At 37.6% G+C, this 25,330-nt stretch overlaps 1 protein-coding gene across 21 annotated transcripts in view, besides 1 other annotated feature; it reads left to right on the top strand.

The window, feature by feature from the left end:
* ZNF385B (zinc finger protein 385B) overlaps positions 1-25,330 on the top strand; it is a 419,631-nt gene that overhangs the window by 386,976 nt on the left and 7,325 nt on the right. The window contains exon 7 of one of the 21 annotated variants that reach the window (NM_001352810.2): positions 8,654-8,734. The exons of the other annotated variants lie outside the window; for them this stretch is intronic. Coding sequence (NP_001339739.1) covers positions 8,654-8,734 — 81 coding nt within the window. The remainder of the gene's footprint in view (positions 1-8,653; positions 8,735-25,330) is intronic. 21 annotated transcript variants of the gene reach the window in all.
* Positions 13,502-14,701: an enhancer, noted in NCBI's record as "P300/CBP strongly-dependent group 1 enhancer chr2:180324663-180325862 (GRCh37/hg19 assembly coordinates)". NCBI's record gives its function as "activates an origin of replication core promoter dependent on BRD2, BRD4, P300/CBP, MED14 and CDK7 cofactors, with strong dependence on P300/CBP, by STARR-seq in HCT116 cells {active_cell/tissue: HCT116}" and the evidence as "EXISTENCE:reporter gene assay evidence [ECO:0000049][PMID:35650434]".

Genomic DNA, 25,330 nt, shown 5'->3' with positions numbered 1-25,330 from the left:
CTAATAATAACATGTAACTGAATGAGCATTGTGTGCTTTATAGCATGCTAAATATTTTATATGTACTATCTTATTTAATGATTATAATAGTATTCTGATGGATATTAGAAAGTGACACCCAGAGAGGGGAAAACAATGGCCCAGAGTTATTCAGATAGAAAGTATTAGGTTAATGCAAAAGTAATCATGGTTTTTGCCATTAAAAGTAATGTTAAGTAACATACTAATTATGTTACTACTATGTAAAGATAGTAATTTTTGCCATTAAAAGTAATGGCAAAAACCTCAATTACTTTTGCACCAACCAAATATTTTCAATGCCAGAGTCTCACTCGGGCTGTCCATCAAACTTACTACCATTATACATATACTCACTACATCTGGATGAAGGTTTGTGAACTTACACTTACTGCTTATGCTTTTTGAAGGCTGTTTGAGATTTATTTACTAGATGACACTTCTGGAAGTCTGACATCCCAGAAATGTGTGTTTCTTTCCCTACCCTATTTTACAACTGTTTTTTTTTTTAAATCAAATTGTGAGAGGCCTTATATAAAGCTATATTAATGAAGGTATGATTCCCGAGTGCCATTTACCTACTTTACATCCATAGCATAGTAGAATGAGCATGAGCTTGAAGTCGGACAGATTAGCTCTGCCTCTCACTGAACTCATATAACCTTGACTAAGTCATGCTCATGGAGCTTCTGTTTCTTCATCTGTAAAGTGGGGGTGCCACATATACACCATGGAATACTATGCAGCCATAAAAAAGAATGAGTTCACATCCTTTGCAGGGACATGGATGAAGGTGGAAACCATCATTCTCAGCAAACTAACACAGGAACAGAAAACCAAACACCGCATCTTCTCACTCATAAGTGGGAGTTCAACAACGAGAACACACACATGGTCACAGGGAGGGAAACATCACACACTGGGGCCTGTCAGAGGGTAGGGGCAATGGGGGGGGATGACATTAGGAGAAATATCTAATGTAGATGATGGGTTGATAGGTGCAGCAAACCACCATGGCACAGGTATACCTATGTAACAAACCTGCACGTTCTGCACGTGTATCCCAGAACTTAAAGCATAATTTTTTTTCAGAAATGGGAGTGCTAATACCTACCTCCTAGGATTGTTGTAAGGATTAATGAACTAATACATGGAAGCTGCCTGGCTCAATGCCTGTCATGCCACAGACACTCAGTAAATTGGTAGCCATAAAAAGTAACCATTTGTTCAAAGAAATTTCCAGGTCCTGCCTATATTTTGACTCTATGATCGTTTCATGACATGCTGGCATGCAACAGTGACCTGCACTTACATTCCTCTTTATGTACTTGTTTTCTTGCCTCATAGTAATTATTTGCACTTGTGGTTTCATTTCAGGATATTAAGGTTTCATGAGCCTGACTTTTTCAGTGACACATTTAAAGATGCGGAAGGGCCTTCTTGGTCTTCCTCACCTTTATATGAAATGGTGGAGATGTCTTTCTATCCTTCCACTGGTTAATGTGTCTCGTCTGTTATGTCCCCTGCAGCCCCTGGCACTCTATTCTTTCATAGTAGTAACATAATTAGCACATATTAAGTGAATATCATTAAGTGGCATGCAAGAGGGAAGCTCTGGTGCCCTCCCTAGAATATGGACAGAGGAAGAAGACACTGTCTTAGCTCTTTTTCTTTGTTTTCATTAAGGTGGATGCCCACCTCACAGGTTGACAGGTTGCTGTATGTACAGCCATAGTATTGAAAGAACGATCTAACACATCCCCATCTGTGGAAAGAGAATACTGGATGCCACATGTGGGGAAGCAGCCCTGCCTGGAGACAGGGTTGGCTACTGAGATCCAAAAGGCTAGGGAGGGGGGGTATGATCCAAATGAGAAGCACACCCCTGCCTGAAAAGTCCCTGCTGAATTTATGTCAGTAAAAAAGCAGAAACTTGTCAGCCCGTATATTTGACTTCCAGCTTTTGCAAAACACTTTCCTTGGTAAACAATTTTTTGGTAATCCTTGTCGGCTATTAATTACTTAGCTTCTAAAAAATACATGCTTGTTTCCTTTGAATATAAAATATCAAACACTAGAAGTTCTTACCACAGTAGAGATTATCTTATTCGTTGCTTTGAAATATATGAACTTCTATCAGTGTCTTATGATTTTTGCCCATTTAACAAGCAAAATGGCCATATCCACATTAAAAATAATTTGTCTTCCCTAGCACAATATCATTGTTCTTAGTTCCCTGTTAAAAAGTAAAATAATTCTACTCAATTTGGAAATTAATTCATATACTGCATTTTTAGATTAGGAAAAGTTATTTGCTTATTTCTTTTCAGCCAAAATTTTACCCAATCCTTTGACTAACCTGTAGGACATATGATTAATATCCAATAGAAGTTTTGTAAGTACTTTGAAAAATCATTAGCAGCTGTCCTGCTTATATCACTTACAGTATTTTTAAATTGAGAGAACCCTTTTGGAAGGCAACTTCATAGAATAAATCAAGAACCATAATGATGTGTATTCCATTAGACCAGTTAATTCCTCTTCCCGGATTCTATACCAAGGTAATAATCCTAAATACAAAGCAAGAAAAATAAAATATTATGCATTAAGATGCCTAATGTAGCATTCGTATCAATGAAAAATGGAAACAAGATTATTAGTACTAGGGGAATTACTTAAAGTACTAGTATTATGCAGCTTTAAAGTAAATAAAAGAAGCAACATAGAAAAAGCAAGTAACATATTAGGGCAGAATGAAATGACGGGCACAGACACAGAGGTTCTTAACCTCTGTTTGTGCCATGGATGCCTGTGGCTGGCTAGTGAAGCCTATTCTCAAACTATAAAATCTATAAAATGAAATTTACAGCTTTTCAAAGAAAATGAATTCTATTGAAATCCAATTGTCAGTTTTTAGTTATGATATAGTAATATAGCAATAATGCATTAAATAAGATTTATCAGTGGGTCTAATATCTACTGTAATTTTGAAGTGGTGAAGAGTATAAATATTTCAAGCATTCTATGACAACTGTAATGTCTGATGAGAATATCTGATTTGTGTTGGTGACAAAGTTACAGGTACTGCTAGGACTACTATAGTTTGTCACCCTCAAGTATAATTGAAGAAAGTGCTAAATTTCCATTGAGAAAAAAAGAAAATAAAAATGTGTTTTTAGCCATCCAAGTTATTGGATCCCTTGAATTCATGGGCCTCTTGGAAGTCCACAGAGCCCAGTTTGAAAACTCCTGTTTAGTGTGACAAGATTATGAGTTATTTTTCTCTATTCTCCATGTGAAGTTATTTTTATAATAACTTCTAATGTCTTGATGAGGTATGTATCATGGGGCAAAGGTAGGATAGGCAAGAAACTCTTAGTCATTTATGTTATGTTATTGTGAGTTTCATAGTTTGCAATGCAACGTCATATCTATTTCTTGCCCAATTCTTTATGGTCACAATTGCAAAGCCATAAATCTCCATATAACAACGTTCCTAAGAGACCTAGCATGATAACAAACCCCTAAGCCCCCTTGAGGAACCAGCCCTCTTAAAATAATATCATTTTAAGGCTTTTAACTGCTCAAGATGATTTTTGGAGCTATGTATGACATGAACTCCAAAATTCCTGTCCTCTGGGTGGCAAAGACCAAGAGAAAGTACTACCATATGGTTACAAGTCAAGCTCTCAAGGACATAAAACAAGAGGAGAGGGAAACCTCATCCAGTTTGTTTGTTTGTTTGTTTGTTTCAGGGACATACAGCAAAGTTTGTAACTGACCAGCTTGCTGGGCTGGCTTGAACAGCAGGCTTACAGGGGTCCTAGATCCACATTTTATTCTAGGGTACCTTTTTTATGACAGAACAAAGCAGAAAGATAAATTCATACGGTAAAGCACATCAGATTTGCTACAGGCTAACACTAGCCTCACAAATCCTTTTTCCCATGAATCAAAACTTTACAGGAGACAAACAGTGATTTTTACCATTCCTTCAACCAGTTTGCACAGAGAGAGAGGCTAGAAGGCTGACTGGTAAGAAATTCTCACCTTTCACCAGCATGCTAGGTTTCTGGGTTCCTTCTCCCTGAGTGGCCCTAGCGACCCTGCTTCTTGCACCATAGCCCGGGGGGGCCAAACCATATCACAAAGGAAAATCATCTTTTTTCAGTTTCATGGGACCATAGGCAAAAAATCCTCTCAGTTTTGCAAGATGCGGCCCAACAGGCTGCACGGAGGAAGTGGATTAACATTTTCTTTTCCAGCCAGAGCAAAATATGCATGACAAAACATAGACATTAGCCACTCCACTTAGCACCCAATATCAAACTGGCAAGGTTAAAACTTGCCCTGGTTGATGCCTGTCATCCTTAATCCATTCAAAGTGGGATGGAATGACCTCAGACTAGAAGTTTCAACATGTGGTCTCTGTACAAGATGGAAGAGCAGACAGTGTCCCCAAGTAACAGAAAAGACAGAACAGGGAAAGGAGAGAAAGTGAGAGAAAAGCATGGCCTGCGGTGGGGTAGGGAAGGCAAGGAATTCAGGGAGGCCAGGGAAAGACCCACAGATCCCAACGACACTGAGTCAAAAGTTCAGGCGGCCGCTTGTCAGTTGCAAAGGAATCTCTTCCAGCAGTCCCATCAGCCATCAAGTTTCCCCCATTGGGGAGAAAAAAGCTGCCCATGTCTTATGATCTGTACATGCCTAATCCAGTCACCCACAGCTGACAGCGAAGGGCACAAGGCAGATTAATCTAAAGAGAATAGTGGTTAACAGCTCATAGCGCCAAGTCCATTTTTAATCAAAGAGAGACTTTACTGAGGTGGGCCTTTAACCCCTTAACATTTTAGAAAGGACTCTACCCTTCCTAAGTTGGGCCTCAAACCCAAGTTCGGTCAAGCATCCTTGTTTTTTACTAAGAAGGGCCTTTAACCTTCTCTGTATTAGGAGGGACTCTAACTCTCCTAAATTGGACCTCTAACCCAATCCCATCCTTTTCCTGGGTAAAATGTACCCCACCACTTACCCAAAGTCGGCCAATTTGTGCTTTGCTGATGATTTTCCTTTGGGTCAGGGATCTCTTAATAGTGTAGTCCCTTCGTGGTTTGCCAGGAAGATATTACCAGAAAGGGGTCCTGATCCAGACCCCAAGAGAGAGTTCTTAGACCTCACACAAGAAAGAATTCGGGGCAAGTCCATAGAACAAGCTTGTCCAACCCACAGCCCACAGGCCACATGCAGCCCAAGACTTTGAATGCAATCCAACACGAATTTGTAAACTTTCTTAAAACATTATGAGATTTTTTTGCGATTTAATTTTTTTAGTTTATCAGCTATCGTTAGTGTTAGTATAACTTATGTGTGGCCCAAGACAATTCTTCTTCTTCCAGTGTGGCCCAGGGAAGCCCAAAGATGGGACAACACTGCCTTAGAAAAAAGTGAAAGCAAGTTTATTAAGAAAGAAGCAAAAAGAATGGCTACTCCATAGGCAGAGCAGAGCAGCTTGATACCACTTTTTAAAGGAGACTTCCTATGGCCAACAGACTTTCTCCTGTAACCTCTAGGTCTTAAATATAAAGCCCGCTTTAACAACGTTGTAATAAGGCTGCAGATTGAATTTAAATACATTAGAATTTTTTTATAATTGGCTTTTAGAAATATATTTTTAAAGGATTGGTATCTTTCTTATGCCTGGGCAGTCCAACCCCTGAATGTCCACATAGTCTCCTTTGAGCAGGCAGTAAGTACGTAGGTCCATAAAGAGTAAGAACCTGGTACCTGAGTCCCTGAAGCAGCCTGAGGCAAAAAGCTTGTCTCCTGGAAGTTTCCCTGACTAGATGAAGAAAGACTCAGTTTCCTCCCTAGCTCTCAGGCTGACTTTTCCATTGCCAGTGTCCACCTCATCCTGCCTGAAGTATCAAAGCTAAAACCCTTTGCTGTTTTCTGAATCTAGAGAGGAAAGAGGGTGAGGAGACCCGAATTCAAATGTTTTACTTGTACCTTGTGAATCTGTTTCCTCTATAAAGAGCCATTCATTTCAAAGAAAAAGAACCTTTTCTCATTTCACCTAGAAAATTAGTTTTTAATCTTACTCCCAGCTTTTGAATCTCTACTGAACCTACTCCCTGAGGAATTTGATTTGAGCGACATGAGTTACTCATTCTATTTTCCATAATAAAGCTGCCTCAGAAATAACTGTTTCACATCTCTTGGTGACAAATTGGAAAAGGGGCAGTTTTTCAACCCGGAGAAGTTGAAATATGATTTCTCTATTCTGCAAGTCAAATGGCTGGAAAAACTACACAAAATAAGAGAAAGCTGTTCATTAGATTCAAACTCTAGTAAACAAGCCCTTTTTTATGCTCACTCAGAAAAGCTGACAAGTTCACTAACATCGGTGCCAGTTCACTGATACAGAAGGTAGGCTGCCAGCTTTCAACATGGAGATAGTTGGAGATGCCATTGTTTTATCTGAGTGTGAGGCTGGCAGCTTGTGCTTCCAAAGTGGCACAAGGTACAACAGGGTAGTTGTCATATGATGCTTAGACAAGGAGGGCAATGGCTGACTTTCTATTGAACCACAGAATCTCTGCAGGCCATGAACCAATGGCCAGAACCTGATTGATAGAGGCTTTCAAATGGAAAGAGCAGTGACATCCTAAGTCAGGATTGTAGCCTGGCAGAGAATTACCAGAAGATGTGAGTATGATGCAGGGCTGGTTTTAGACTTTTGAAGTTCACTGCCTAACTTTTATGGGTCCTAAGTTACTTAAAATGAATATGCTTTTTATTTTGTTGTTTTTTTTTTTCTAAAGGACATGCAGATTCTGATTCAGTGAAGAGTCACTTTATAGACAATTTTCCCTGCTTTCAGGATTAGTCTAAAAGTCAAGATATGAAAATTAGACATAAATGTAGCTAATTAGGATTTAGCAAGCTTCACAGTCATGAACCATGCTTGAAGAGAGAGGGTTTCTGGAATTTAGCTACAGGCATGATAATGTGGGCACTGGATAAGAAGGGCCTGACTGCCTTAGATTGACCCAATGTGTAATATTATAATGCTCGGAGAATTTCAAAAACTAGCTTTAAGTTCCATGTCTGTCCTTGGCTACTCAGTATTTCTGGGCTTATGACTTAAGTATTCTGTTTTGTTTTCCACTTCTACAAAATGGCAGACACCATATAGAAAATGTTTTCTGTTTCCAAAGGTGGTCCAGTAGTTCACCCTCCAGTGAGGAATTGAGATGAGACATTTCCAACAGGAAATCCTATGACTAATAAAGCAAGTCAGCTAACTAGTGGGTGTTATGAGCTAAAGCAGCCTGTACTATACTATACTAGGTAACCCTTGGGGACATTTGGAATTAGACCAAGTTTAAATGAGGCATCTAGTTGGAGGAAGCCTAAATGGATAGACTGAAGGATTCCCAATGTACTTCAGAATCACTCTTGGGCCACCAGATGTAAAATTATGCACCTGGGGATATGGGTTAATTGTGAGTGGTACCATCGCCAACACACGAAGTCTTTATAATGACACCCTCAGTAATGCACATCTATTACCTAAAGAGTAGGGGAAATTAAATAATGCCACAGGACATTCTATGTGGAATTTCTTCCCTCCCTTCCCCTCCCCTCCCTTTCCCTTCCCTTCCCTTTCTCTCTCTCTTTTTTTTTTTTTTTTTTTTTTTTTTTTTGACAGTCTTGCTCTGTTGCCAGGCTGGAATACAGTGGCACGTTCTCAGCTCACTGCAATCTCTGCCTCCTGGGTTCAGGCAATTCTTCTGCCTCAGCCTCCCAAGTAGCTGGGATTACAGATGTGTGCCACCATACCTGGCTAATTTTTGTATTTTTAGTAGAAACAGAGTTGCATCACGTTAGCCAGGCTAGTCTTGAATTCCTGACCTCAAATGATCTGCCCACCTTGGCCTCCCATAGTGCTGGGATTACAGGTATGAGCCACCACACCTGGTGGGATTTCTTAAAGAGTATTATTACACAAGTATATCAACCATGTAATCGTTGATAACACAAATGGATATTGTATAATATAATTTAATATTGACTATATAGACCATTGCAGAGATGGGTTCTTGGGCTAGAAGCCTCTGATGAATTTCCAAACAGAATACCTATAGTTTCAAGAGAAATCTTGCCAAAGAACAGAACATGAGTTTAGCTGCAAAGAGGAATGGCTATATTTTGGTGATTTTTTTTTTCACATGTGCTTCAGATTGTCAGGCAGAGGTATATGCCTTAGCTATATCGTTATCAGAGGTACATTTTTTATCTATATGTATGTTTGTATAGGATTTATAACAAAGGAGATAATCACAGATTTGTTCATTTCATCAAACATCAAAATACTAGACCTGCCACAAAGGAATGTGTTTGTTGTTATGACCCTGTCTAGTACATCGCAAGGAGATCCACTCAAGAGAATTGTTTTAACCTCAAGTGACATTAAATATATATTGCGAATATATAGACTTGACAACAATGATATGCGTAATTTACATAGTCAACAGCTAAAATGCATTTATGTGTCTGTTCTATGTATATTTGTTTTACTAGTTATGATTCAGCTATTAGCAGTGAATTTTTCTTATATTTTTATTTCTGAGGCTAGAGAGCACTGCCTTGAATTGGACATTCCTTATTTCAGCAAACGTATTGCTCACCTATGGCTTTCTGTACATTGGGCATAAAGGTAAATCAAGACATGATTCCAGGACTCAAGAATCTCTCCTGGTAATAATTTTTAAGTGCAAATAAATAATTATAATTAATGGAAGATCATAATATAATTATGTGAAGAGGATTATAAAGGTATGGAGTAGGGAAGAAGGGAAGACATGGGCTCAGAGACTAGAATGGTCAAGATCAGTAAAGAAATTTCATGGTAATCCAGAGAGAATAGATTAGGGCCTAAAATGAGGTAGTGGCACATAGTAAATGCTGAATAAATGCTAGTTTAAACGGTGAATAAGGCTGATAGATGAGGATAATTAGTTAACTGCAGAATGTAAGAGAGAGAATTTAAGAATCATTGCTGACAGTTCTAATATATAACTGGCAATACCATCAATTGACGTGAGGACTACTTGGAAAGGCCCCTGTGTGGAGCAGCTTATACATTCAGTATCAGGCATGTTGAGTTTGAAATACCCATGAAATATCTAAAAGCAGACATCCTATAGAGTATTGGTGGAAAAGGGTCTTGATCTTGAGAGAAAAGTAGAGAATTTACCTCTTGATTTAGGAATCTATGTCAGTGTGGTAGAGGAAGTCATTGAATTGAATTAGATCATGTAATGCCCAAGAAAAAGACTAGAGTATGATCTTGAGGAATGCCAACATTTAGGGACAGGCAGAAGAATAGGAGATGGTGAAGGGGTCTAGAACGAGCTGTTGTAGAAGCTAAAGGAGAACCAGTCAGGGGAAATTTCATGAACATCAAAGGTGAAAAATATTGTGGACATTGAAGGGAAAAAGTTTCCAGAAAAAAATCATGTCCAGTTCAAGAGAAGACAGAAGAGACACCTTTGCCTTTGACAGGAGGATAAGGATGGATAGGAAGACAGGAAGCAGAAAGGCATATTTCACACACCCACTTCCAGTTCAGCACCAGAGAGAAGATAGGTGGGAAGCCCTGGGAGTAAACTGAGTTAAGGAGTGACTTTTAGAACATGGAGATTTCAGCATTTGTAGACAGAAAAAAAGAATCAAGTGTAAAGGAAGTAGTTGAAGCTATAGGAAAGAGGTTTTATCCAAAAAAGAGCCCACATAGCCAAGACAATCCTGGGCAAGAAGAACAAAGCTGGAGGCATCATGCTACCTGACTTCAAACTATACTACAAGGCTACAGTAACCAAAACGGCATGGTACTGGTACCAAAACAGAGATATAGACTAATGGAACAGAACAGAGGCCTCAGAAATAACACCACACATCTACAACTATCTGATCTTTGACAAACCTGACACAAACAAGAATGGGGAAAAGATTCCCTACTTAATAAATGGTGTTGGGAAAACTGGCTAGCCATATGCAGAAAACTGAAACTGGACCCCTTCCTTACACCTTATACAAAAATCAACTCAAGATGGATCAAAGACTTAAACATAAGACCTAGGACCATAAAAATCCTAGAGGAAAACCTGGGCAATACCATTCAGGACATAGGCATGGGCAAAGACTTCATGTCTAAAACACCGAAAGCAATGGCAACAAAAGCCAAAATTGACAAATGGGATATAATTAAACTAAAGAGCTTCTGCACAGCAAAAGAAACTACCATCAGAGTGAACAGGCAACCTACAGAATGGGAGAAAATTTTTGCAATCTAGCCATCTGACAAAGGGCTAATATCCAGAATCTACAAAGAATTTAAACAAATTTACAAGAAAAGAAACAATCCCATCAAAAAGTCAGCAAAGGATATGAACAGACACTTCTCAAAAGAAGTCATTTATGCAGCTAACAAATATATGAAAAAATGCTCATCATCACTGGTCATTAGAGAAATGCAAATCAAAACCACAGTGAGATACCATCTCACGCCAGTTAGAATGGCAATCATTAAAAAGTCAGGAAACAACAGGTGCTGGAGAGGATGTGGAGAAATAGGGATGCTTTTACACTGTTGGTGGGAGTAAAAATCAGTTCAACCATTGGAAGACAGTGTGACAATTCCTCAAGGATCTGGAACTAGAAATACCATTTGACCCAGCAATCCCATTACTGGGTATATACCCAAAGGATTATAAATCATTCTACTATAAAGACACGTGCACACGTATGTTTATTGCAGCACTATTCACAATAGCAAAGACTTGGAACCAACCCAAATGTTCATCAATATTAGACTGGATAAAGAAAATGTGGCACATATACACCATGGAATACTATGCAGCCATAAAAAAGATGAGTTCATGTCCTTTGCAGGGACATAGATGAAGCTGGAAACCATCATTCTCAGCAAACTATCACAAGAACAGAAAATCAAACACCGCATGTTCTCACTCATAAGTGGGAGTTGAACAATGAGAACACATGGACATGGGGCGGGGAACATCACACTCTGGGGCCTGTTGGGGAGTTGGGGGCTAGGGGAGGGATAACATTAGGAGAAATACCTAATGTAGGTGATGAGTTGATGGGTGCAGCAAACCACCATGGCACATGTATACCTACGTAACAAAACTGCACGTTCTGCACATGTACCCCATAACTTAAAGCATAATAAGAATAAAAAAAAGAAATAGAGAGGCCAAGTGGAAGCATACACCTTTTCCTCAGAGATGTGAAGAAAATGGGTGCAGATGGAAGAAATTGTAATATTGAGGTGATCTCATCCAGCTTCCCCATTTCTCTAAGGAAAAGGAGACCAGACATTAGCTCATAAGAGATTTGGAGCAATGGTAGGGACTTTAGAACAAGGATAAAACTTCCATGCAGAAGTTTTATCTGCATGGACTATACACACTGATTGATGTGTATATATAATCATTTTATATAATCATGTCTTTATATAATCATTTCTCCCTGTTTTATTTATTGACCTCTTCTGAGGTATATATAACTTTTTATTATATATGTTTCTAATTTAAGCAAATCTAATCCATATGAATATAGAATTTTAAAATAATTGTGTGTGATTATTGCACTGCCAAGAAAGCTCTATTTTCACAAACACACACACACACACATCTTTTAAATAGTGCGTTCAAATTATCACTAAATTTTCCAAGATCTTTATGCACATAACCTTTCAGGAAAATATCTAATAAAGTAAGGCAATCTGAGAGTTGTATCTGATCATTATCTGCAATGTTGGCCTTTTCTTCCTGCTCCTTTAGATAGGTGTAGTCCCATTACACTACAAATGAATACTCCTTTTTTGTGCATCTAACAATATAGTGATGATACTCTAGCATCTTTACATCTCTTACAACATTTTATTTTGCAGAGAACTCCAAGGTACTGAATTCATTTGTTCATCTTGCAGCCTGTGTGCTTTTTTTTTTAATCCATTAACTATCTTAATGGAATTCTACCTTAAACTTTTAAAATATATGTCATCAGTTGGTGGCTTCTATCAGTTGTATTTTGTCAAATGTGTAGGTAAGGAGGAGACGAACAAGGCAAAGGCTTAAGTCTCCTGCAGCACACCAGTTTACATACATACAGGTTTGCAGTGTGGTTTTTCCCCCTTTTGTCTGCTGTAGAGCCCCCTGAGCTTTTCAGCTTTATTTCTCACAAGACTGCACAATTGGAAGAAAGTAGGTACTCTGACTGATGCCCATTAATTTCTTATTATTTAGAAAGTGGAAAGATAAAGCAGAGAATGATTTCAGAATTCCTTATCAAAGTGAGCTAACTTGGTTTAATGAGTGTTAAACAGTAATATGGGCATTGCTTTGTTTTTTGGAATAATAATGAGATGTTGTACAAGGTGCTTGTGAATACAGGAAAGAATGTGACCATCAGTCCTTTCACTGCATGCCTCTGTTTAGTGCAATATTAAGTATAAAAAGGAAAAATTCATTGTATTAGTTGACAAGCATTATTCTTCAGAGACCTCAGAAAGCACAAAGTGCAATTCTATTGAAATTGTGGCCTTGGTGACCTGAGAACTTTTTTCAAGTTTTGGGGCTTCTTTGCTATTCTGGAAGGCTTATTTCAGAAGATGTCAACAGGTATCAGTGAGCCTAATGAGTCCTCCCTGATAAATGGCATGGATTTAGAAATTCACAGGTCCTGGGGAGTGTGGAATAGAATTCATGACCCTGGCCTCATTATCTGAGCTTACTTCTTACAACTATTACCTTTCCATTGCATTTTCCACCTGAAGCCCTCACTTCACTTTTACAGTGTTCTTGGTTCTTAAAGTCAATAAGAAAAGGGTAGTATTTTGCACATGTAAGCATTAAGGTCCCAATCACATAAATCACTTGCTTAAGATGACTCAATCAGTCAAAAATGGAATTAGAAATAGCCAGGTTTTTCTGGCTAAAAGGCCAGGAAGTTTTATTAGCATCCTAAATACTGTTATCTCAAATCTTAGTAAATGACATCACCCACTATTTTTCAAGTGCTCATGCTAAAACCATGGTAATGAGACTTGATTCCTCTCTTTCTTTAATGTCCCACACCTAATGAATAAGTCTAGTTGGTTCTACATACAAATATATTCTGAAACCACTGCTCAATTCTCTACCACTACCACCTTTGTCTAAGCAACCATTAGCTCTCTCATGGGCAACTGCAGTCGTTTCTTGACTGATCTCCTCATGTTTATCCTTTCACAGTCTATTCTCCACGCAAGAGGCAAAATGGTCTTATGAAGACAGGAATCAGATCATCTCTCTCCCCTACTCAGCAAACATACTTATGTTACATCCAAATTTCTCTCATGCTCTACCAGGCTGTATGTGATCTGGTGCCTCCAACTCCTCCACCTCACATCCTGCAATCAGACCCCAGTCTCACTGACTTTCTTGTCCTTGTTTGTTCCCGCTTCAAGGTTTTTAGACTTACTATGCTTTCTTCCTGGAACACTCTTTCTCCCAGAACTCCTATTATTTCATTCACATATCTGTTAAATATTGTAATTGCCTAACAGGTTCATCTTGCTTGCTGCACAGATAAAACCAATCCACTGAGAGCAGTACTGTGGTAGGAAAAGTTTAATAGTTGCAAGGCTAGCCAAGTGAGAGGATGGGAGTAATTACTCGAATCAGCTGCCCTGAAAGCTTGGAGGTTAGAGTTTTTCAAGGATAGTTTCATGGGCAGGGGGCTAGGGAATGGGAAATGCTGATTGTTTGGCAATGAAATCGTAGAGGTATGGAAAACTGTCCTCGTGGCTGAGTCAGCCTCTGAGTCAGGACCACAGGACTGGTTGAGTCATGAGTCATGGGTCTGAGTGGAGTCAGTCAGTTGAAAAGTCTGAAAAACATCTCAAAAAACCCATCTTAGGTTCTACAACAGTGATGTTGTCTATAAGAAAGATTGGGAAAGTCACAAATCTTGTAACTTCTGGCCACAGGACTTCTGAGCAGTAAGGGATTGTAGAAAAGCAAGCTAAGAAACAATGGCTGGTTATCGTTTAACTACACCTATATCTTAGCAGAATTCAGGCCCCTTTAATACTCTTAATCTTATCACCTTTCAGTAGACTTACAAAACAAGGCAGGGAGGGTCAATTTTAGGGAGGAACTATTATCATCCTTGCTTCAAAGTTAAACTGTAAACTAAATTCCTGCCATGGTTAGCTTGGCCTACACCCAGGACTGAGTGAGGACAGCCAGCCTGTGAGAATAGAAGCAAGATGGAGTCAGCCATGTTAGATATCTCTGTCTCAATCTTTGCAAAGGAGGTTTCAATATCACCTCTTCAGATAGGCCTGAGCTGACTCTTTACCATGACCAGCTTTATTTTTCTTCTTAGTGCACTTACTACTATGAGACATTATATATTTTTTTTTCTTTTCTTTTCTTTTCTTTTTGAGACAGAGTCTTACTCTGTTGCCCAGGCTGGAGTGCAGTGGCAAGATCTCGGCTCACCGCAACCTCTGCCTCCCAGGTTCAAGCAATCCTCTTGCCTCAGCCCCCCTAGTAGCTGGGATTACAGGCACGTGCCACCATGCTCAGCTAATTTTTGTATTTTTAGTAGAGACGGGGTTTCACCATGTTAGCCAGGCTGGTCTTGAACTCCTGACCTCAGGTGATCCACCCGCCTCAGCTTCCCAAAGTGCTGGGATTACAGGCGTGAGCCACCACGCCTGGCCGCTATATATATTTTTTACATATATAATTTATATATAGTTTTATATATGTTTTGAATATATGTGCTTTGATATTTATTACATATAATAAAAGTTTATGCATTTATTATTATAATGCACATTTTTTATTTAATAAATAGACTTATAAATTAAGATTTACATTTAAATTAATTAAAATACATTTGTATATATAAATCCACACACACATACACACACACACACACACACACACACACTTATTTTCTCTCTCCCCCACTAGATGATTAATTCCACTGAGTCAGAGACTTGGTATTTTTACTGCTAACTTCCATGCCTGATATAGTATATAGCACATAATAGGTGCTCAATCAGTAGTTGTTGAATGGATGGATGTTTATTTCCTTAGGACAGATTTCTAGAGGGAGACTTTCTTGGTGAAATGATATTAATTTCATATATTGTTTAACAACAGTTATACTACTTTTCCACTCCACCAAGCCCAGATGCCTATATTGTATCTGCCCCACTTATTGTAATTTCTAAATCTTTGCCATCTCTCAGAGGCAGAAAATGATACTTCTTAGTGGCCTTAATTAAACCAACTTAATAAACCAAGACATACATTATCAAAAACAAAAATGCAAAGAAATTTTTATCTAATATAGGGAATCAGAGACCTCCTTTTGAGTGTCCATTAATTCTTCTGGGAATCAGAGAAGACCTGAAAATTCAGAGAAAACACCTATGCAAAATTTTTCTTAAAAGAAGCTTTTGAAGACTATTGTCATTTACTTTCTTAGGTACATGCAAACTTGCAACTATAGGGGAGGAAAAAATAATTTTCTCTCCTTCTGAGTTCTTGGTTGGGACCGATCCCTGTAACAAAAGACAGATTAACATGAAAACAAAGAAGTTTATTAACATGTATACCTCATGTATTGATGGGAGGTACCCAGAGAAATGAGTAAATCTCCAAGAGGTGACTTTGAATTCAGGCTTAAATACAATCTTAAGCTATAACAAAGAAGGGTGTAGGGAGGCCAGTAATGAGGAAGTAACTAGGAAAAACACAGTAAACAAGGGTAAGGTTTGTTAAGTGGATTTAAATCAGTGCCTTCTCCATTTACTAAGAGTGTCTGGAGGCTAGAGTCATTCCTTCTTTTCTTGGTAGAGTGAGGGAGACACCCCAACAGATAAGAGGTTTTTTTAATAGATATATACTTCTCTTACAAAAGAGTGACCTCTACTCTGGTTTCAGAGCTTCTGTAGCTGCTACAAGGATGACATACTCTAGGCCTGCTACACAACCATTAAAGAATCACATCAAAGCAGACTTATTTATCTGGTTCTCTACAAGACGTGCCTGTAATATTCTGTATTAGTCCATTTTCATGCTGCTGATAAAGGCAATTTATAAATGAAAGACATTTAATGGATTTACAGTTCCACATGGCTGGAGAGGACTCACAATCATGGCAGAAGGCAAGGAGGAGCAAGTCATGTCTTACATGGATGTCAGCAGGTAAAGAGAGAGCTTGTGCAGGGAAACTCTCCCTTATATAACCATCAGATCTCGTGAGACTTATTCACTATCACGAGAACAGCATGAGAAAGACCTGCCCACGTGATTCAATTACCTCCCACTAGGTCCCTCCCACAACACATGGGAATTCAAGATGAGATTGGGTGGCGACACAGCCAAACCATATCATATGGTATGCTTTCTATGGCATCATGTAACTTAGATATACGAAGATATTACCATCCATTCACCTTTAGTCAACATGACAAACATTCAAGAAGGTATTTCTAAAACTAAGCATTCTTAGTCTAATATTCCTTAAAACAGAAGAGCAATAAGAGCACTGGCTCAGGGTTCGGGAAGCCTTTGTTTGAATCCATGCTCTATCATTTATTGAATGACTACAGGCAAGTTGCTTACTCTATTTAAGCCTTGGGGCTTTGTCTTTTTAAACAATTGGGGTTATCATAAGACAACATTTAGAGAGTGAAAAGCATGCCACAACCTGGAAGATGACTTGTGATGTGTATATCTGACAAAGGACTCCTGTTCAGGCTATATTTAAAGACTTCCTATAAATCAATAATGAAAAAGCTGACAACCCAGTTTTAAAAATGGGCTAAAGATATGAACAAACGCTCACAAAATATACAATTGGCCAATAAAAAAAAGAAAAGGAGCTCATTATCACTAGCTATTGGGGAAATACAAATTAAAACCACAAGAAGATACCACCACACCTCCACTAGAATGGCTAAAATCAAAAGGACTGACAATACTGATACCATGGATTAGACAAGATGTGAAACAATTGAAATTTTCATACATTGCTGATAGAAATATATATTGGTACAATCAGTTTGGAAGACTGTTTTCAGAATCTACTAAAGCTAGATATGAATATCTTGTGGCCCAATAATTCTACTATGTATATATACATAACAAAAATGAGTATTTATGTCTACCAAAAAACACTTAAAAGAATGTACATAGTAGAATTATTCAAAATGGCCAAAAACTGAAAACATTTTAAATTTTCATCGGTAGCAAAATAAATAAATAAATAGTGGCATACTCATACAATGGGGTACTACCCAGCAGTGAAAAAATATCCTTCTGTCTATAATAATACAGATGAATCTTACAGACATAATGTTGAGTGAAAGAAGCCAGACACAAAAGAAATATATTGTGTGATTTCCTTATATGAAGCTTAAAAATAGATAAAACTGATCTAGGTTAATAGAGGTGGTTATCTTTGGGGGAAATCTCAACTGGTAGGGGTTCAAGGGAGCTTCTAGGGTGGTGAAAACACTCTATATCATCAGGTGTATTGTATTTACGTGAATGTATACATACATTAAAATGTATTAAATTTATATATTTTATAGTACATGCTATATCGCAATTAAAAGAAAAAGAAAAAAGTTTAAAAGTACAGATAGTAACAGTTTCTATCTCATAGTGTTTGAAAAATAAATTAGATAATGACTATAAATTCTTAAAATAGTGCTTGGTCTATAGTGAGTGCTCAATTACTATGAGTGGTTGATTTGTGATTATTATTGTTACATTTACCATTATTGTAAGATATAATTGCCTGGAACAGCCATTAGGCTAGTATTTTTGCTCTGCGTAAAGCAAATTTTCAAATAATGACTGCAATACTGATTTCAGCTTTTAAGAACAATGGTTCAACCAACTTAACATTATTAGGTTTGTATAAAGGAAGTTTATTATTATAAAGTTTTTTACTTTAGTGTACAATGTTTTAACATTTAAAACTGTATTTAAGATTTTTGTTTCCTTTCAGAGTAATAAAAATTTTTAAAATTACGTTGAGGTACAAAGCATCATTAATCTTACAAAACAATATTCTTCTGTTTTAGTGATAAAATAAATACCAATCAAATTAACAATGAGATACCATATTATGTCTGTTGGATAGGTAAAGGCAATAGATAATTAGGCTGATAAAGGCACAGGGAAGCCATGATCTTTTGTGACACTCCTAAGAGTATTCATTTGTATGACCATTCTGGAGGGCAATTTGGTATATGCATCAAAAGCTCAGAAATGTACACGATCTTTGTCCCAGCAATTTTTCTTCAAAGTTCATGTCCTGAGGAAATTATCAGATGAGTTTTCAGAGATGTCTGAATATAATGCTGTTTATATAACTGGTTTATTGAATATATGAATTCAATGAGGTACAAACATGATAGCCTTTACAGCCATGTGTTGCTTAACAATGCAGATACATTCCGAGATATGCATTTTTAGGCTATTTTGTCATTGTGCAAACATCATTCAGTGTATAGTACTCACACACATCTAGGCAGTACAGCCTACTACAGGCCTAAGCTAAATAGTTTTAGTTCCTTCTCACATTGTTAATAAAGACATACCCGAGACTGGATAATTTTTTTTTTTTTTTTTTTTTTGAGATGCAGTCTCGCTCTATCTCCCAGTGGCACAATCTTGGCTCACGGCAACCTCTGCCTCCTGGGTTCAAGAGATTCTCCTGCCTCAGGCTCCCAAGTAGCTGGGATTACAGGCATGCGCCAACATGCCTAGCTAATTTTTTTTTGTATTTTTGGTAGAGACGGGATTTCATCATGTTGGCCAGGCTGGTCTCATACTGACCTCGAGTGATCTGCCTGCCTCAGCCTCCCAAAGTATTGGGATTACAGGTGTGAGCCACTGCGCCTGGCCGAGACTAGGTAATTTATAAACGAAAGAGGTTTATTTGATTCACAGCTCAGCATGGCTGGGGAGGCCTCAGGAAACTTACCACCATGGTGGAAGGGGAAACAAACATGCCCTTCTTCACATGGTGGCAGCAAGGAGACGTGCCGAGCAAAAGGGGGAAAAAACTCTTATGAAACCATCAGATCTCATGAGAACTCACTCACAATCATGAGAACCAGCAGCATGGAGGTAATCATGCCCCCATGATTCAATTACCTCCCACCGGCTCCAGCCCATGACACACAGAGATTATGGGAACTATAACTCAAGATGAGATCTCGGTGGGGACACAGCCAAACCATATGAACTATTTAGCTCCTATGCTACACACCTATATAACAGGTTACTGTACTAAATACTGTAGGCAATTGCAACACAACAATAAGCATTTGTGTATCTAAACATAGGAAAGGTACCATAAAAATATTGTATAAAAGATAAAAAAATGGCATACTTGTATAGAGCATTTACCATGAATGGAACTTGTAGAGGTGGAAGTTGCTGTGGGTGAGTCAGTGAGTGAGTGGTGAATGTGAAGGCCCAGGACATTCCTATACACTTACTGTACTAGGATATTACTGTAGACTTTATAAGCACTATATGCTCAGGCTACACTAAATTTATTTTTAGAAAAATTCTTTCTTCAGCAATAAATTAACCTCAGCTTAATGTAACCTTTTTACTTTATAAACTCCAAATGTTTTTAAACTTTTGACTTTTTTGTAATAACACTTAGCTTAAAACATAAACACACTGTAGAGTGCTACAAAAATTCTTTATATTCTTATTCTCTAAGCTCTTTTCTATCTTTAAATTTATTTATTTATTTCACTTTTTACACTCTTTTATTAAAGACTATGACACAAACACCCATATTAGCCTAGGCCTACACAGGGTCAGGATCATTAATGTCACTGTCCTCCACTTCCACATCTTAACCCACTGGAAGGTCTCCAGGCACAATTACACAGTGGAGCTGTCATAAATGATAACAATGCCTTCTTCTAGAATACCTCTTGAAGAACCTGCCTGAGGCCATTTTACAGATAACTTTAATTTTTTTATAAATGGAAGGAGTACACTCTAAAATAATTATTATAAAAAGCATAGTATAGTAAATATATAAACTAGTAACACAGTCATTTATTATTATCAAGTATTATATACCTTACATAATTGTGTGTGCTATACTTTTATATGACTGGTAGCACAGTAGGTTTGTTCACACCAGAATCACCATAAGCACATGAGTAATGTGTTGCACTACAACATCATGACAGCTACCACATCTCTAGGCAATAGGAATTTTTCAGCTCCTTTATAATCTTATGGGACCACCATTGTATATGCAGTCTATCATTGACTGAAATGTCATTATGTGACACATGACTGTACACTCTGTTGAATCTCCCTTTCTCATTCCTCAAAGACATTGTCAGATATCAGAAAGTCTGGTCTTATTTGAAACTTTAGGCTCTTATCCAATTGAACACTCCCTTTTTTCTGGCTCAGGTTGAACCATGAAAAGGGGCATGGTCTGCTCTTTCTTCCGTGTTCCATGCTTTCTGATTCTTGCGCTTTCCATTGTTAGGGATAAGAGGAGGAATTAGAGGAGAAAAAGGGGCAAATGCTTTTGTACTTAATGACAATTATGGTTGTCCTCTGAGTGACAGATGTCCAGATGCTGTCTGACTCTCTCAGGGACAATGTGTGAATTCTTCATAAGGCTTGTTCCCTGACCTCTTACAACCCTTCCTCAGCTTGTGCCACTAAAGGTCCACACTTCAGCCTCTTGCTGCCAAGGTCCTAGTGATCAGACTTCTTACGTTGGGCACTAACAACATGATTTGAGCCAGGCCACCTTTCAAATCATCCTGTTGGCCCAAAGAAATCTTACTCAACTTTGTTATGCCAAACTGAGATTATAGGTTCTTCTCCTTCTTACCTTTCTTGCTCCAACACAATCTCCCTCCGACCACAAGTGAGGAACAAATTGCCAAGACCTGCAGTAGTCTAACTGGGGAATGAAATCCCAGTGTCCCCTTCTTACCTCCATTTCTAGCTTTATTAGTTTGGGATTCAGAAGCTCCCAACCAGACCAGAAATTCATGACTCTAGTGAGTCCTCCCATCTTCAGACTACTTTATAAGGCCTGGACAGGTGGGTGATAGGGTGCTGGCAGCTGGACCAGTTCTACTAAATTTTATAAATCCTGCAGGACTGTGTTGGGGGTTTCTGAGGAACTTTCTCTAACATGCTGTAATACTAAATACCAGTTGCTTTCAATTCTCAGTTGTGTCCTTCATTGAGGCCACAGAAGTCTCGTTCGGTATCCTTTTAACATTAACAAAAGTGCAAACCAGAGATAACCAAAATATCAAAAGAAGATTGCTGAATATAGTACATTCATATAAATAAATATCATTTGGTGTTAGAAATCTTAATCCAGTTCTGCATTTATTGACATGGAAAATGTTCTTGATTTATTCCTAAGTGAAAAATATTAGTTACAGAACAGTATGTTTCTGTATATTCATATTTGCTATTATGTAAAAAATAGTGTAGAGTAATGTATACCAAAATATCATAATGCTAGTTCAAAACTATTGCCTGTGATCCAAATATTGCCTGCCACCTATTTTCATAAGTAAAATTTTACTGGATCACAGCCATGCCAGTGGCTGCTTTCCTGCTACAAAGCAGAGTTGAGTAGTTACAACAGAGACAGTATAGCCACAAAGCTTAACGTGTCTTCTGGGGCTGTACAGAAAAAGTTTACCAACTTTTATTCTAGATGATAGAATCATGAGTAATTTTAATAATTTAAAATTTTTGTCTGACTTCATTTTTTAAATTTTCTGCAGTGAGCATGAATTTATTGTATAAAATATGTATCTGTTATTAACCACTGAATTCTGATTAGAAAATCTTATTACATAAATAAAATTAAACTCAAAAGCAAATCTTACAAGTCAAATAATAAAAATTTGATTACAGCTTTCAAAGTTCTAATTCAAAATATAGGACCTACATTGTAGGTAGAATATTAATTTTTTATTGTTTTTAAAATTAAGACCTAGGTATGGACATGACTCTTCCATATGCCAAGAGGATTGGTTTCTTAAAACTTCTTTTTAGAGCTTCTGGTATATTCTTTTTATCTTAGCATATTAGTCTTCTGAGGCTGTGTTTGAGTAGTATAGTGCTAAGTTTGATGAATAAGGTGGATTAATTTGAGTAAAGATTTTGGAGTAAGAAATAAGGGTGATACATTTTGAAGACTGGTTTTCTTTACATGGCTTATGAAGTGGACATAAAAGGAGTATCAAAGAAAAGAGTTTTCAAGCATTTGGAGCTTTGGAAAATAAATGAATCAGTATGGAACTTCCCAAGGACACTACTTTGAAGAAATAAATTCACTTGGATGCATAAATTATGGATATTTGTTACAACGAACAATTCTGATGTAGCTAAGCAAATTTTCCTTCAAAATCCTGTAGGATAAAGCCTTCTAAATGTGTTTGAGTAATCAAGAAATAATTAGGACAGTCAGAAAACCTGCTAATTAACATTAGGTGAGGGAATACTTGAAAATGGATTTCATCTTAACCAGAAGTTCCAGATGACATGCATCTTTATTAAGAGAAACAGAAGTAAACAGTACATTAATTAAACTTTCAAATACACGAAGAGGCTTTTAAAATACCAGTAAGGAATGAGGAATAATACAATGGATTTTCATAAAAATATCAAGCAATTAAGATAAGAAATAATAAGATTAGGCTTTGAAGTTTATACATTTGCATATTGAGAAAGAATGCCACTATTCAAATATATAAATATATCAGTGACTTTTCAAATTTTAGGATCTGTTTTATTGACTAGATAGTATCTATCCAATAACAGAATTTCCTAAATAGGGTAAAATCATTTACACATTTCCAAAGTCAACATTTTTCCTTAATATTCTCAAAGATTAAGACTCTGGCCTATCTGAGAAAAAAAATTTAAAACATAATTTATCTGAATTTTAGACCATGTAAGTGTTAAACATACTATACATCTCAATTTTAAAAGGAAAGTGTCTGCCCTTAGTATATGTTTTAATAGTTTTAAGATATTCTCTGCCTTCTGGCTCAATTGACATCTATAATAATATCTCCCATTACACTTGTTGCCAGCTCTATGCTCAACTACCAGGTATTCACCAAGAAAACCCCAAGATTTCTAATACCTAGGTATTTCCTTATGTTTCTGCTTCCAACCATTCACTTCCCACTCATTTTCTTCCCACTCATTTTCTTTCTTTTTTTTTTTTTTTAATTATACTTTAAGTTTTAGGGTACATGTGCACAACGTGCAGGTTAGTTACATATGTATACATGTGCCATGTTGGTGTGCTGAACCCACTAACTCGTCATTTAACATTAGGTATATCTCCTAATGCTATCCCTCCCCCCTCCCCCCACCTCACAACAGTCCCCAGTGTGTGATGTTCCCCTTCCTGTGTCCATGTGTTATCATTGTTCAATTCCCACCTATGAGTGAGAACATGTGGTGTTTGGTTTTTTGTCCTTGCGATAGTTTGCTGAGAATGATGGTTTCCAGCTTCATCCATGTCCCTGCAAAGGACATGAACTCATCACTTTTTATGGCTGCATAGTATTCCATGGTGTATATGTGCCACATTTTCTTAATCCAGTCTATCATTGTTGGACATTTAGGTTGGTTCCAAGTCTTTGCTATTGTGAATAGTGCCACAATAAACATACATGTGCATATGTCTTTATAGCAGCATGATTTATAATCCTTTGGGTATATACCCAGTAATAGGATGGCTGGGTCAAATGGTATTTCTAGTTCTAGATCCCTGAGGAATCGCCACACTGACTTCCACAATGGTTGAACTAGTTTACAGTCCCACCAACAGTGTAAAAGTGTTCCTATTTCTCCACATCCTCTCCAGCACCTGTTGTTTCCTGACTTTTTAATGATCGCCATTCTAACTGGTGTGAGATGGTATCTCACTGTGGTTTTGATTTGCATTTCTCTGATGGCCAGTGATGATGAGCATTTTTTCATTTGTCTTTTGGCTGTATAAATGTCTTCTTTTGAGAAGTGTCTGTTCATATCCTTCGCCCACTTTTTGATGGGGTTGTTTGTTTTTTTGTAAATTTGTTGGAGTTCGTTGTAGATTCTGGATATTAGCCCTTTGTCAGATGAGTAGGTTGCAAATATTTTCTCCCATTCTGTAGGTTGCCTGTTCGCTCTGATGGTAGTTTCTTTTGCTGTGCAGAAGCTCTTGAGTTTAATTAGATCCCATTTGTCAATTTTGGCTTTTGTTGCCATTGCTTTTGGTGTTTTAGACATGAAGTCCTTGCCCATGCCTATGTCCTGAATGGTATTGCCTAGGTTTTCTTCTAGGGTTTTTATGGTTTTAGGTCTAACATTTAAGTCTTTAATCCATCTTGAATTAATTTTTGTATAAGGTGTAAGGAAGGGATCCAGTTTCAGCTTTCTACATATGGCTAGCCAGTTTTCCCAGCACCATTTATTAAATAGGGAATCATTTCCCCATTTCTTGTTTTTGTCAGGTTTGTCAAAGATCAGATGGTTGTAGATATGCGGCATTATTTCTGAGGGCTCTGTTCTGTTCCATTGGTCTATATCTCTGTTTTGGTACCAGTACCATGCTGTTTTGGTTACTGTAGCCTTGTGGTATAGTTTGAAGTCAGGTAGCATGATGCCTCCAGCTTTGTTCTTTTGGCTTAGGATTGACTTGGCGATGCGGGCTCTTTTTTGGTTCCATGTGAACTTTAAAGTAGTATTTTCCAATTCTGTGAAGAAAGTCATTGGTAGCTCGATGGGGATGGCATTGAATCTATAAATTACCTTGGGCAGTATGGCCATTTTCACGATATTGATTCTTCCTACCCATGAGCATGGAATGTTCTTCCATTTGTTTGTATCCTCTTTTATTTCATTGAGCAGTGGTTTCTAGTTCTCCTTGAAGAGGTCCTTCATGTCCCTTGTAAGTTGGATTCCTAGGTATTTTATTCTCTTTGAAGCAATTGTGAATGGGAGTTCACTAATGATTTGGCTCTCTGTTTGTCTGTTATTGGTGTATAAGAATGCTTGTGATTTTTGCACATTGATTTTGTATCCTGAGACTTTGCTGAAGTTACCTATCAGCTTAAGGAGATTTTGGGCTGAGACGATGGCCTTCTCACTCATTTTCAACCCTATTCTATGCTTATCCAAATCTG

Source organism: Homo sapiens, chromosome 2 (assembly GCF_000001405.40).
Source record: "Homo sapiens chromosome 2, GRCh38.p14 Primary Assembly".
Lineage (NCBI taxonomy): Eukaryota > Metazoa > Chordata > Mammalia > Primates > Hominidae > Homo > Homo sapiens.
This window is presented reverse-complemented; position numbering and strand designations above follow the sequence as displayed.